The sequence below is a fragment of the Homo sapiens genome, chromosome 2 (genome assembly GCF_000001405.40).
Source record: "Homo sapiens chromosome 2, GRCh38.p14 Primary Assembly".
NCBI lineage: Eukaryota > Metazoa > Chordata > Mammalia > Primates > Hominidae > Homo > Homo sapiens.
In genome coordinates, this window is record NC_000002.12 from 13,002,917 (window position 1) to 13,018,588 (window position 15,672).

General features: G+C 37.3%; 2 long non-coding RNA genes across 4 annotated transcripts in view; one reads left to right on the forward strand and one right to left on the reverse strand.

Annotated features, from left to right (window-relative positions):
• Nucleotides 1-4,097, reverse strand: part of LOC100506474 (uncharacterized) — a 40,232-nt gene extending 36,135 nt beyond the window's left edge. The window contains exons 1-2 of the long non-coding RNA NR_038434.1: nucleotides 3,955-4,097; nucleotides 908-1,035 (exon numbers count right to left, since the gene is read on the reverse strand). This is a non-coding gene — a long non-coding RNA (uncharacterized LOC100506474). The remainder of the gene's footprint in view (nucleotides 1-907; nucleotides 1,036-3,954) is intronic.
• LOC105373436 (uncharacterized) overlaps nucleotides 1-15,672 on the forward strand; it is a 330,895-nt gene that overhangs the window by 2,128 nt on the left and 313,095 nt on the right. The gene's annotated exons all lie outside the window — the stretch shown is intronic.

Consider the following 15,672-nt stretch of genomic DNA (forward strand, 5'->3'; position numbering starts at 1 on the left):
CTGGGTCAAATGAAGGGTATATTGCTGCAATCTGTTAAAGAAAAGCAAATCCTAGTGCCAAGATCAGAAGAAAGTTCTCCTGGGGAGTGAGCCAATGTCACTGTCTTTGCTTGGAGAAATGTGGCCAATAATTATATCCAAGCAGTAAAATAGAACTTTTTTCCTTCCTCCAGCTGGCAGAGGGATTTGGACCACATCTGTTAAATATTTATCAGTAGCAGATACTAGTTTATCTTAGTTTTATTTTCTTGCAGAGATCACCAGGATTTTTATCTCATTAAGCTAGATGGTATCAGTGAGACCTCATTTCTTTTATGGAGACTGGTGTGAGTTGTAGACAGGAGCTAAAGAAAGACTAACCCCCGAGCAGATGCAATTGTGCATACAGCGAGGATACTACCACTTACTTGCTATTTCAACATTAATATTTTTCCTTAAGCCTCTGGGGTTTGAACTGAATATTGGTAGTTTTCTCCTAAGATTTTGAGAAGTTGACTTAAATGGAAAACTTCCTGGAATAATTTATGCTTTATGATATAAGGTCATGGTATTTGTAACTCTTTATAGTCATTGCTTTTGGTGAGAGAAATGTAGTAGTGAGCCAAGCTCAATGAGTTCAACATCATGCCTGAATTGTCTGATTTTGTTATAAATTAAACATAACCGGTATGGCTCCATGCTTGATTATTTAAAACCACCATACTTATCTAACTGATCACGCTTCAAAAACTCCACCTACTTGATTTCTGGCAAGAACATCACATGCAAAAGGAACAACATTTTTCCAATCTGTCCATCTAAATGATTCATCACATTAACTTTCATTGCTGCCAAGCTTTTCCCCAACTGGGAGAATTTACTAACATGGATATGCTGAGGCATGATGGCAAAGGAAAGACCACTGTACCAGAAAGTAGAAAGGCAAAATTGTTGTTGCAGTCCTATTAAACTCAGCCAGGCATCTCTTCTGAGCCTCAGTTTCTCTTCTCTATACAAGTAGGACAGTCACATCTGCTCCGAAGACTCCACCAGGCTCTTAGGAAGAAAAAATACATTGATGACAAACATGATGATATTGAAAACTACACTGACATTTGATAAGCACTTACTTCTTATTGCTATTGTGCTATAAACTGCAAACATTGATAATTTCAAGCTCTTAAGAAATGTATGAGGAAGGCAGCAAAAGGACTTGATCAAGTTCCCATATATGGAAAGGAGCTGCCAATTCCAGAGCTTTGATGAACACGGCTACTGTAACATGTGAATGGTTTTATAAACTCTACATACATAGAACAGTATAATTACACAGTTAGAAACCTAAACAACCTTATATATTATTTTGTTAGATACATGTTTGATAGCAATGCAATTAAATGTTGAGTGTCTATGTAATCCAAGTCCTTAATGAATCAATAACATGTCCAGAAAGGGTTGGGTTCAGGGAGGTAGCATTCAAGTACAGATTTTTTTTCTAAGCAAGGTGCAACAATTTGTTCAAGAATATTGGAAATCGCAATTTGATTCTACTTGTGTGAATAAATACAAAGGCATGTGGAGGAATTTAAACTGCAGAACCTCTAGTTATTATAATATATGCCCCAGACAACTCTATATTTCATCTGTAAAAATGGCAGCAATGATTCTTATTCTGCTGTATTGTTATGAAGGCCAGCACTTAAGAAAATGAAGTTATGTACAACAAGGTTGAAATTTCTGTCATACACATGTGGAAACAGAACCAGAGAAGTTGCTTAGGGACACAAAGTCGGTGGTAAAGCTGGGGTGCTAGTGCAGGTCTCCCCATAATTGATTTCCATGGCGATCAAGTCAGTTCAATCCAACAAACATTTATTTTGCCATTCTATGACTAGCACAGAACTTATTTCTGGGTTTAAAATAGTGAATGAGACCAAGCTGGACACAGACATTAAGCAAGTTAAAAACAAATTGCAGTTTGATGGGGGTGAAGAGGACTGAGAAGTTTTTAAACACTTTGACCACCATATCTCACATGTAAGGTATGAATAATAATAATGATAACAAAAACATCCAATTCACAGTGTTTGGGAGAAAGATCAGAAAGATAGAAAGTGCAAAAGAAATCATGAATTTCAAAGTCATTTCACCAGTTTTTAAATAGAGAATGTCCATTTCACCAGTTTTTAAGTAGAGAATGACGTTCATTTTCCTAGAACTCAACATTTTCTTTAGTTGCATATTTGTTGCATATAATTATATTAAAAACTGAAGGGAAAAACACACACATTGCCTGCATAGTCACGTGGTGGGTTCTGAGAGGAACCAGCAGGAAAATGAAATTATGACTCTAATAGAAGAACTGAAAGATGGATGACCTGATATATTCAGGGGTTATCTCTAGCAAAGATGGGAATCTCATTTGGGTAGTAATTAATTATAGGTGCCTCAACATTTTCATTTGTTATGATTAACTTAGTTTAGGTGATCAATCTTGCTTGTCAGCTCCAATAGATAGGTAGAATTTCCAGTCTGAGATGGAAATTATTTTGATATTAATCAATCTTTACTTGTTCTGAGATGACAGTTTTCCCCTGTTACCAAGTCCTGAAGCTCAATTAGCAGCCTGGACATTTTATGTATTTTCTACATTGGCAAAAGGAAAACCATGTATTATTTCATAAGAGTTGAACCTGTTGCAGAGACTAAAGTCAGTGTCTCTCTTCTTTGGCTATGCAAAACCAAACCAAACCAAACAAACAATAACAACAACCACACACACACACACACAAAACAAACAAGAAAAAACCCAACAACACAAAAACCAAACCAAAACAAAAAACTGCTAACATAGTCTCGGGCCTTCTCTTTACTGCTGGCATTTTCTTTCTTGCTCACGCCCTTCCAGAAACACTGGCTTCCCTGCCCTTCTCCAATACATCAGGCATATTCCTGTCTCCAGTTCTTTGCACTGGCCTTTTCTTCCTGCACATATCCTTTATGGCCGTGCAGCCTTTTCCCTTAAGTGCTTCCTGTCCTCCTTCCTGCCTCTGTTCCTCCTCCACAGCCCCGATCACTTTCCCGCATACTGTGGTATTTTATTTTATTTATTTATTTTTTTGGTTTATTGTAGGTCTGCTGCTATCAGCATATAAGTTTGTGAATTCTGGGGCCTCTATCTTTTCTGTTCTCTGCTGAACTTCCAGAGCTGGAACAGTGCCTGCCATGTAAAAGGCACTTCCTACGTAGCTTGTGAAAACATGAGTGAGTCTTCACAGTAACTATGCTTTAGCATGTCATTAAAAACAATTTCAGTGTTGTAAGAATTAAACCTCCTACGAACATTTCTGATATGCCGCATACCCATGACTTGCTAAAGACACAAATGAGCACTTAAATATGACTTCCAAGAGATTGTTATTCAATTCTTGGAAGTTTCATTTTCTTAAATTTTATCGAAAATACTGGGTTGAATTAAAAATTCATAATATTCCTAAAGAAAAGAAAATCTTTGCATTTCTGAGTCAAATACTTACCCTTTTAAATCAGAATTTAAAAAATAAAGTCAGTTTACTCATCAATCAATTGCACATCTCTTAGAGAATCTAAAAAGGCATTTTGCTATGTCAAGACTTGAAGAATGGGACCACATCTGTGTGCTCGAGATGCTTATAGTCCAGCTGCCTTGGAGCACCACTGAGCGTGAAGGAGGTGGTTTGTAGCTGGGAAGTCTGGTCTTAAATACGGTTGCTGCTACAAACTCGGTGAATAGTATTAGCCAGGTAACCTTTCCTCTCTAAGCCTCAGTATCTCTCCCTATTAAATAGAACTGGAGATAATGATAGATAGAAGAACTCTAAGTTCCCTTACAGCAGCAAAATGCTAGATTTTAAATCAAGAGATAATAAAACAAAACACATAGCTGGCTTTCAATAAATACTTCTTGGCTTGAAAAAAACGAAATTATTATCTCACTGTAGTGGGAACAGGCTCCTGCAGCTGGTGAAAGACAATCCTCCTTCTAGCTGCTGAAGTTGAGCAGGTCTGCTGTAACGAGGAACAGATAGCATCAAGATCATTTCCAGGACTATCCTGGATGGAAGATCTAGGGAGGGAGCAAACCCACCTAGTGCTAGAGGACAAACACACCCCGTTCTTGGGAGGAGACCTCAGAGGCGCTTTGTAATGTGGCTCTGGCGCCACCTGGTGATTATTCCTAGAATTTTTCCTGTAACTCCAAGGCTACCAGCGACAGACAAAACACCCTGCAAAGGATTTATCAATGCATTAAAGCTGTATGTAGTTCAGGGAATGGGAGCAGAATAAAGAGACTATTCTGTCATAAGAACCAGGACAGAATGAAGCTCCAGAATCCCGTATATTTACATTTAAAAATAATCATTCACACAGCAGCTGAGACTAATTCTGGCCAATGTAAAACCAAATGGACCCAGCTGTTCTCTGACTAGTTGAACAAGCTCAATCATTTCAATATCATTTTTATTGGTGATTTTAGTTCACACCAAAAAAAGTTGTACAACTCTTCAGGGTTGAAGCAGTGTTAGGCGCTGGCCGTGGAGACAGGGAGTCACACAGTCGCAAGGAGCTTGTATGCAGACGGGCTTTACACCCAGTAAGTTGAACACAAACCGGAGGACAGCATTTCTCATGTGGGAAGTACAGCGGGAATGTTACAGAAACGTGCCTGTGAAAGTTAACTAACTGTGGACCAAGCAGCATTGGGCATAGTCGAAAAATCAGAAATGGCTTGGCAGTGACTTTTTGCAAGTCTTCACATTTTGATGATCGAAAGTGAAGAAGCTCATTTACGGTGGAGGGAATTGGCATAAAAGAGCATGGAGGTCAGTTAGCTCAGGGTGTCCCCCACACATCTGGCTGGGTGTGCAGGATACAAGAGGCAGGGCTAGAAAGTTCAGGAGGGCTCAGGGCAACCTTAACCCTGAATGAAAAGGTTGGACTTTACTGCCTGCTGGGATGGGGGATGAAGTATTGGAAATTCATGAGGCAAAAACCATGTGAATTTATTGGAAGGAAAAGCTAAGATTTTTACAAAAAAAATCTGTGATCTTTAGATTTGACTCTAGTTAAACTCTGGGAATCTCTAGTTGGGAAGAATATTGATCACACTCACACTAATACTTTAACGTTATTTATTTATTTATTTATTTTGGTGGGCAAATATGCTTCAAATGTCATCAGTCCTCCTTGGGAGATATTTGGACATCAAAAGAATTATATATATATATGCTTAGTTAGGAGTAAGTCAAATTAAAGTGTAACATTTTTCATATTTGTGATTTTAAAAAATAACTCATGTGAGTTTAGTTTTAGAAGAATCAAAGAAATTACTTAGGTAAATAAAAATGCAGTGCTTGTACTGAGTAGGATTGTATGAAGTCTGTTCATCATCTTAAAAACAGGCAAGGAAGATTTTCAGCAGAATGAGATTTGCTCGGATATTAGAATGGACACATGAGAATTAAGAACAATGGTTCCATTCACAGATTTTAAAAAGCCTTCACGGATGACTGGATCAAAAAATCTTTGTCATTTTAGATTTTGTTAATCTTTGAACGTTAATAATTTTTAAATGTTCTGTGAAAAAGGATACACATTTTAAAAATGTATTTAATGTTTCATATTAACAAGTTATCTATGTTTCCCAAACTTGCTTTCAAAAAATAAAATTTTCTGGGGAACATTCTAGATCTCTTGAATGAGGACAGACTTTGCAGGTGAATTTTATGATCTAGCAATTTGGGAAAGCACACTGGAATTGCCTTCTTAAAATCCTCATCAAACAGCTGACAGTCATCCCCACAGATGAGTAAATGATGGTTCAGAGAGGCTGAGTGGCCTGAGGTCCCTGAACAAGGTACTAACCATTGGGATTCTAGTGTCTGTCTATCTGGGTGATTCCAAAGCCCAAACTCTGCCCAATATACGTGACTGCCCTGCAAATAAAGATGATCTGACAATTGGGCATCTGTAAACATCTCTCTATACACAGTTCGTTCCTTCCACAGTTCAAAAGTCAGCATCTATATTGGACCAGCGGGAGGTAGGGAAGTTCAAGAGGTGGGCCACTGGCTGTCCTCTTACAGGCAAGGCCAGGTCTTACAACATTTGAAGGCCCAGGGATGTGCATTGGTTTGTCTGGTTAGCTAGTGGATTACAATGGAAAACCTCCAGCCCCTAGACTTTGCTCACGACTCCCACAGCTGATCTTCAAAGAGCTACAGGAAGAAAGCACCAGCACTTCCACCTCTCAAATCAGAGCATGGATGAAGCAGGCTGATGCTCCCAAGCCGGCATGCCCATGCAAGCTGATTTCTTATGACTCACACAATAGAACTGCATGGTTGCCATTTAGCAATAGCACTTTTTCAAATAGGATATTCAGTTAATTCTGTTTTGGATTATATCACCCCTGAGAACTACAAGGAATTAACATATCTTTCAAAGATGAGAATAGAAATAAATTAGAATAGGAATGTGTTCTCCATTCTATAGCAACGTAGAATGCGTATTCTCAAGGCTAAGAAAAGACTAGCACGTCTCTACTTTATATTACTTGGGTTGACTAATGTAGTCTTGCATATCCTGAAGGATCAAATGCAAAGTGTTTAAAATGAATTAATGTGTATGTGATAGACTGAAATTCTTCTCTCCTGCTATAGTTCTGGACAGAACACCCTCAGAGTTGGAGGAGCTGAATTCTGACCAGGTGGCAAGTGAAGTTAATGGATTAATTAAAGGAATTATTTGAAAAGTAATCCTACAGAGGACACTTATTCAGTTCTGAAGCAATCACATCAGTAGACCAAAGGGATAGAAATATGTATATATATATATATTCATGTGTATGTGTGTGTGTGTGTATATATATATATATATATATATATATATATATTCATTTTCTGATATCATTTAATGACCTAAGTGTCCAAACTAAGCTAACTGGTTGGTCAGATAGTGTTTCAACTAAAAATATACATATGTGTGTGTATATATATATGTGTGTGTGTGTGTGTATATATATGATTTCTATATATATATGATTCTCTCTCTATATATATATGATTACTATGTACCAATATGTTTACGTAACATATTACGTATTGTGAATCAAATTACGTATTGTGAATCAAAATATTTTTGTACCATTACCCAATAAATGTTAATTTTGCCAAATGGATCTCATAGAGAATCTTTTCTTAGATTGCTTAGGTCCTCAGTTACGTTAACGTCGATCTGGCTTTGATTCACTGTAATTTCCTTAAAGGATAGTCACTGGAGTCCACATAGAATGAAAGCAGGGAAAGGGCAGGAGCTCAAGGTCAAATTCTTTGCAGAAATCCTTTGTCAAGTAAATAATGCAGTGTTACCCTGATCCATGATGGATTTTTGGCTTTTTTGTGGAGGACAGAGGGGAACGTGGAACTGAAAAGGTGGCTCTTCAGCACAAGAGCATTCTCACCGGTTCCACTGCCTGCTGGAACCTCGGCCTGCCCTGACTTCGTTCCTCAGACAACCACAGAGTTCAGCACTGTAGACCCCAAGCTGTTGCCCAGCCTTGCTGTGATGTGGTGGAAGGAGCCCACACTGTAGCCCCAGGTGGATCTGGTGTTCACTGTGCAACTGGCTATCAGATTTGAACAGGACTTGATGAAACGTTCTTAACCCCTTTGAATGTATTTTCTGATCTATAAAGAAGGGATAATGATGATGATCTCACAGGATTTTGAAGAGGATTTGAAATAATATATGTAATACGTCTGGCAGGGGCCTGATCCAAGGTAGGCACTCAATGTTGTGTTTCAATCACACACACACAAGTGCGCACACACAACACACATACTCACACACACACCTCCAGAAAGACAACAGACTGAGGCTTTCTTCCCCCATTCCCATTGATATTGTTGCTGCAATAACTTTATTCAGTAGATCAGAACACCAATGTTTCCTCGAGAATTGTGCACCTATTTTCTTATTTCTTATAACTAAGGAAATCAAGGAGGGTGACTCCTCTGGGAGAAAAAAGGTATGTGAACAATTGCTAAACCAGAGGGCATTTTTAAGTCATCTGCCTTACTGCTATCCTTTATCAGCAGAGACCTTAACACTTTTATTACTTGTTCTCAGTGATGAAGTTGTAGGGTTTTTTGTTTTGTTTTGTTTTGTTTAACATCTCCCCTTCTGGATAAAAGTTGTTTCTATTTAAAGACACTCGCAGTGTGGTTGGATGTTCATTGAACGTTGGCAAGGTGCATAGCACTTTTCAGATGCTAGCCTTAGGTTGCTGAGGGGAAAGCTTGTAGCGAAGACCCCTATTGTCTGTCAAGCGGTCATCAAGCCAAAAGGTGGTGACCAACCTACAATCCTCACTGGTATTTGGGGCCTGTTTGGATGTTGGTTGTACAGCCCTATTTCATTTTTCTTCTACCTAGTTAGAGATACTTTCTATAAAGCCTAGGTCTGTGTGACCTTCCTGGTCTCTTTGCTCTGGATTTCCCCAGAGGTTTGCAGTCTCTTTCCCATCTGCCTGGAATAGGATCCTTCTTGCCCTGCACCTGCTTAGACTTGGTTTCTTAAAAAAATAAAAAAGATATGTAATGTTTGTACATATTTGTAATGTACATGTGATAGGTTGTTAAATGCATACAACGCGTAATGATTAAGTCAGGTTATTTAGGATATCCATCATTTCTAGCATTTATCATTTCTATGTGTTTGTACATTTTAGATTCTCTCTTCTAGCATTTTGAAATATACAACAGATTGATGTTAACTGTACTCATCCTACAGTGCTATTAAACATTCTGATGTTTAAGTTCTAACTTTTTTCTTTTATCTAATAGTATGTTTGCACCCATTACCCCACCTCTGTTCATCCCCACTCCCTGCAACACACACTTCCTAGCCTCTGCTAACCACTTTTCTACTCTCTATCTCCTGTACCTCCATGAGATCCACCTTTTAAGCTCCCACATATAAGTGAGAATGTGTTGTCTTTCTGTGCCTATCTTATTTCACTTAACATAATGACCTCCATTTCCATCCATGTTGCTGTAAATGATAGGATTTTATTCATTTTTATGGCCAAATAGTATCCCAATGCACATATGTATCACATTTTCCTTATCCATTCATCCTTTGATGGGCACTTAGATTGGTTCCATATCTTGACTAGTGTGAATAATGCCACAATAAACATGGGGGTGCAATATCCCTTTGATATATTGATTTTATTTAGCTTGCATAAACACTCAGTAGTGGGATTGCTGGATCATAGGGTAATTCTAATTTTAGTTTTTTTAAAGAAACTTCCTGCTAGCTGCAGTGGCTCACACTGCCTGTAATCCCAGCACTTTGGTAGGCCAAAGTGGGCAGATCACTTGAGGCCAGGAGTTCGAAACCAGCTTGGCCCACATGGTGAAACCCCATCTCTACTAAAAATACAAAAAATTAGCTGAGCTTGGTGGCGGATGCCTGTAGTCCCGGTTACTTGGGAGGCTTAGGCGTGAAAATCGCTTGAACCCTGGTCGGGGGTGGGGGTGCGGAGGCTGCAGTGAGCTAAGATCGTGCCACTGCACTCCAGCCTGGGCAACAGAGTGAGACTCTGTGTCAGAAAAAAAAAAAAAAGGAAAAAAGAAACTTCCATACTATTTTCCATAATGGCTGCACTACTTTATACTCCCATCAGCAGCGTAGGAGTGATCCTCTTTCTCCCCATCCTTGCCAGTATCTTTTATTTTTTTGCAATTTTTCTAATAGCCATTATAACTAGGATAAGATGATATCCCAATATGGATTTGATTTACATTTCTCTAATGATTATTGATGTTAAACATTTTTTAAATAAACATGTTGGCCATTTGTATGTCCTATTTTGAGAAATGTTTATTTAGAATCTTTGCCCACTTTTGAATGTGATTATTATTATTATTATTTGCTGTTGAGGTGTTTGTGTTCCTTGTCTATTCCGGATATTAGTTTCTGATCATTGAACCCCGTGGCTCACTGCTTCTGGCCGACTGTCTCCCATATCTAACTCTCCTCTTCTTTCCTGATGTTCTAAGATGTTCTAATCCATGTCAAATAGTGTTATTTGTTGACTAGCATCCATTGTTCATTTTCTTCCTTGTTGACAGAAGCCCAATTTTGTTCAGCTATCAGATGAGTAGGAGGATATAAAAGGAAGGAAGGTGCTTCACCCAGTCCTAATAGTCATGCTTAGTATAAACCATTCATGTCATCACGATTATCTTATGAAAGTATAAGCTAAGCTCACTAAATAATGGTACATGAAGGTCCATCTGTGGAGGCCTATTTTTCTCTCTCTCTATGTTGCTTCTTTCTTCCCCTTGTGAAGCTTCCATGAAGAGCTTTTGCTCAGTGCTGTAGTTTGCTTGGTGTTGTATCACCACCAATTTATAACCGTGGAAGAAAGATCAAGAGTCACAAAGACACCCACCCCAGATCCTAAATTGAGTTAACAAGCCTGGATCATCTGTCTTCAAATATCTAAGTAAGCATGGATGCCATTGTTGGTCAGGGGTGCTCCTCCTTTCATCTCTTCCCCACAGCCTTCTGTGCACTGACTGATGCTAGGTCCTCACTTTGCCCCTCCCTGAGCTAGGGCTCTAAGCAGCGTGGCAGCTACAGCCTGAATGCTGCTGGCTCAAGTGAGAAGACTTGAAAACTGACTGCGAATGGTTTTCTGCTATTAAAATGTACTGAAATGGATACTTTTTATTTGTAATAGCATTTTCTCTTCTAACTACACAAGAGGTTGGTTTTATTAGTCCTATTCAGGAGATTAGAAAATTGAGGATTAGAGAGTTTACGTGACTTGCCAAAAGCGTCATAGCTTGTGAGGAATACGAGGTTTATTTGGTTATGAGATTCATTTTACATATTTACATATTTTATCTGACCTGTGTGATAAGAATAAAATCTAAATACCTAACATGGTTTATAAGATCCTACGTGATCTTATCTCTAGTCATCCGCTCCCACCAATAATTTTTACTTAAAATTCTCAAATATTGGAAGCTACATCTCCTTTCTGGATCTTTTCTTATGCTGCTCGCTCTGTCTGGAATGTTCTTTCTCTTCTCTTTCCCTGGGTGAATGCTCTTTTCTTTAGAACAGTGCTAAGACATTGCTTTCCCTCAAAAGCATTCCCTGTTCCTCATATCATTAGGGCACATCCCCTACTGTATTTAAGTACTTCAAAGTGTGATCGATGGTCTGTATCTACCCTTATTCATGGGAGCCCATCCCATTTAACCTGTGTTTCCACTCCATATACTGTATCATAAACTTTAGCGCTTGAGGCAGGGAATTTACAATTTTGAAAGCTTCATTGATAATTTTAATGCATATTCCTGATGACAAATAAGAATATTATGCAATGAAAAGTATTAGTTGAGTGAATGCCTGGCCGGTTCCTTGATCAGTAAGCAAAAAACCAAGAAAAAACAAAAATAAAGTAATATAAAATGTTCGGTATCTTTCAACTAGTTATACAGACTAATTCATTTCAACCGCAATCATTGAAGCCATGTCTATTGCCTAGAAGTTCATAACTAAACAACAGAAACCAAACACAAATTAGCTAGGAGTATCCACAAGTATTCCAATTCCTGAAGGTTTGATGAAAATATTCCATTTTGAGTCACACAAACAGTTCACAAAAGAATTATGTCTGTTTCTGTATGAATTTCTATGATCCTTGACGAAGCACAAAAATTATATACTTTTCTCAGAGTTTAGAAGAATTGCTGATTTAAGAAAAGGAAAGCAGTAGATTAGAATAAGAATGAGTGTGCCTCTTTAAATAAATCACACTTTATTCAAAATGCTGCTTTTATTTCTGATAAAATCACTTGTGGAATATGTGTGTGTGTGTGCGCGCACATGTGTGCGTACACATATTTCCTCTGTGTGCATGTGTGGTTCATTTCCTATGAACCAGAGTTGTCTTGGAGAAATAGGAGTTTCAGAAAGGAGAAAACAGGTCAGCAGTAGATATCTTGCCTCAGGGCAGAGAACAAAGAGCAATTCCAGATGGCATCCTGGAGATGGGAGAGGAAATTCACTAATAATTATAGATTACAGGGATAAACATTGACTCTATTGAATATCCTGGCAAAACAGATCCCTTTAATAGACAGTCAGAGATTGTGCTGATACTTTAAAATAATGGAACTTAGACATACCTGGATAGAAAGAAGAGAAAATGCTCTGAACTTGGAGAAAATTGATTTTATTTTTTTATTTACAGAGCTACAGTTTGAAGAGAGAAGCAAAATTGAAAAATTAATGTTAAAACTGACATTAAAAACTTCTATTTTTAAAGGTGAATTAAAGTCTTAAAGGAATCTGAAAGTACAGTGAAAAGAGATTGAAATAATATGGTAGTGTAAACTCAAAATATCAATATACTGTGATAGAAAGGACAAAGAATTTGGAGTTACTGAGACTGTAAGTTAAAGCCTGCTCTTATCTGTTAACTGGGACATGATACTTGAGTCTTAGTGCCCTCATTTGTACTGATAACAGTTTATTATCTTTTCATTTTTTTCAGATTTGAATAAGAGACCATAAGTAAATTTCCTGAGACAGGATCTCAAATCAATTTTTTAAAAATCACAATTATATATTACTCTGAACATACAATAAGAGGGCTCCGAAGCAAATTTCCTAACAGTGAAAAATTGGTTTGATTTGGTCTTTGAAATTGCCAGCTGCTGTCAGAGCATTCTGGTCCTTGAACAAACACGCATAAAGTGTTTTCCCTGGTGCTAGGAAGTGTTCATTGAAAAACAGCTGTTGGCATCTGAATACATTACATATGATGCTAACAAGACCTTACTTTTGTATAATACTTTACACTTCTTTTAAAGCACTTTGTTTAATTTCATCTACAAAGGAAAGGCATTATTTCCCTCTCTAACAAATTTAGAAATGGATACATCCATTAAGGGGTAATGCAATTTCCCAGTCAAGAAACAGTTTAAGTATTTGTTAGACTGTCTTGATGTCACAGTTTCTGGCTTTTAGAATTGTGTTCCAGGGTAGTGTGACAGAGGCTTGTGGTTGGATAATATTGTGGGGAGAGATTCCCTAGTACTCAGAACCTTTCTAAATGCAAGACAATGGATGACCCTCTGAAAAATGGGATTAGACCATGAGAGCCAAAGTAAATCACTCTGAGACACAGCAGGTCTCCACTACAATGGCTCTCTGAGAACTGAAGGCAGAGCAGTGAGATTGAGAGAAGTCTCTTGATACACAGAAAGCTAGTGGAGAAAATATAAAGCAAAGAAAATTGCATGGTAAGCAAACAGCTGGCAAGCAGAAGATAGAGGTGAATAAGTATTTTCTATCAGCCTTCAAGGCTGATAGCTAAGGCGAAAAAACAAAGAAATCTCCAGAATCTTGTTGGGATAATCGCAATGTCATGCCAAGTGAAAAGTTTAATTCTGCCTTTGAAATATTTGAAATGATTTGAGAACTAGTCAGTGCTGCAGCAAAGCTCAGACCTAGCTTCAGTGCAGATTAGATTCACCTAGCCACTGCCTTGACAACCTAACAGACGGTCATGTACTTCTTTGGAAGATAAATATTATTTTCTTCAGGTCTGTACTGTTCTCTTACATATAATCCTTAGCACACAGATATAAACAATGAGAAAAGCAAAAGAGATGACAATTGCAACCCACAATTAAGATAAAATATAGTCAAGTCAATACAAGCAGGACCAGAGTTGGACTAGAGGCAAGAATGATCAAACAATGATGTTGAAATCATCAAGATAATTACTTTAACAAATACAGTGGGGAAGAAAGACAAGAGTGAAGAAATAGGTAATTTCAGCATATCCATGAAAATATTATTCATAAAATTAAAACACTAGGAATGGAGAACCCAATATCAGAAATAAAAAGGTCATTGGGTGGGCTAAAGAGCAGACAGGACATGAAAGGAGAACATACTAGTGAATTTGAAGACCAGTCATGATAACATCTGAGAAGGTAGTACCTAAGAAATTTCGAAATTGAAAGATAACAACCCCCAAATCCAAGCAGTTGACCCAAGCACAATAAATACAAAAAAAAAAAAAAAAATACCCAGGAAAAGCTTAGTCAAAACTCGGGGGGAAATGCAAGATATAGAAATAGTCTTAAAAGCAGCCAGAAAGGAAAAATAAAAACACGAAAGAAGACAGCTTACATAAAAGGACAAATAATAAGAGTGATAGCTAAATTATCGTAAGAAATCATCATGAATAGAAGACAATTGAATGGTATGTTTAAAATGCTGAGAAAAAAATGAACTTTCAGCCTAGGACTTATATAGTGAGAATATCTTCCATAAATATATAAAGAAATATAAGTTTAAAACAGAAACACACTACAGTTGACCCTTCAACAACATTGATTTGAACTCTGTGGGTCCACTTATACGTGGATTTTTTTCAATAAATAATTTGAAAAATTTTGGAGATTTGTGACAATTTGCAAAAACTTGCAGACTAACCACGTAGCCTAGAAGTATAAAAATAAATTAAGAAAATGTTAGGTATGTCATTAATACATAAAATACATGCAGATACTAGTCTACTTTTTCATTTGCTACCATAAAATAGTACATAAATCTATCATAAAAAGTTAAAATTTATCAAAACTTAAACACACAAATGCTTGTAAACCATACATGGCACCATTTGCAGTCAAGAGAAATGTAAAGAAGTGTAAAGATGAAGAATCAAATTCTGACTGCATAAAATTAAGTGTAATAATACTGTACTACGGTAATCATTTCATAGCCACCTCCTGTTGTTGTTGTGGTGAGCTCATGTTACATCTGCATAGAATGCCATACTATGCTAAAAACCTCCACCTGAGCAGCTCATCACTCCAGTAAATTGTGTACCACGGTAAAAAGTGAGTTCTCACAGTTCTTATGTATTTTTCATCATGTTTAGTGCAATCCTATAACCTTGAATTACACCATGGGACCCCATACAAAGTGCCTCCAAGAAGCCAAGAAAAGTCATGGCATTACAAGAAAAAGTTGAATTGCTTGATATGTACCATAGATTGTTGTCTGCTATTGCGGTTTCCTACCATTTAAAGATAAATGAATCCAGCATAAGGACTGAAGCTGTTGCTGCAGCTATGTCAACAGGTGCAAAAATCTTGTACTTTTTGTGAAATATCCTTTTATATCATATTGAAAATGCAGCTTTTATGTGGTGCAGGATTGCCATAAGCAAAGCATACCTATAGATTTGAATATGATTCTAGGAAAAGCAAAGTCATTATATGGTAACTTAAAGCAAAAAAAAAAAAATAAAAATAAAAAGGTAAAAGATCTAAAGTTAAATAATTTAATGCCAGAAAGGGATGGTTTGATAATTTTGAAACAGATTTCAGCAAAAAAAAAGTCAAGATAACAAACAAAACAGTTTATGCTGACCAAGAGACAGCAGACAAGTTCCCAGATGTTATTAAGAAAACCATTGAGGAGGAAGGATGTTGGTCTGAACAGGTTTTTTTATGAGGATGAAATTGCTCAACCTGGAAAAAAAATTGGCACAAAGGACATTTATTAGTAAGGAAGAGAAATGGGCACTAAGATTTAAAGCAGGAAGGG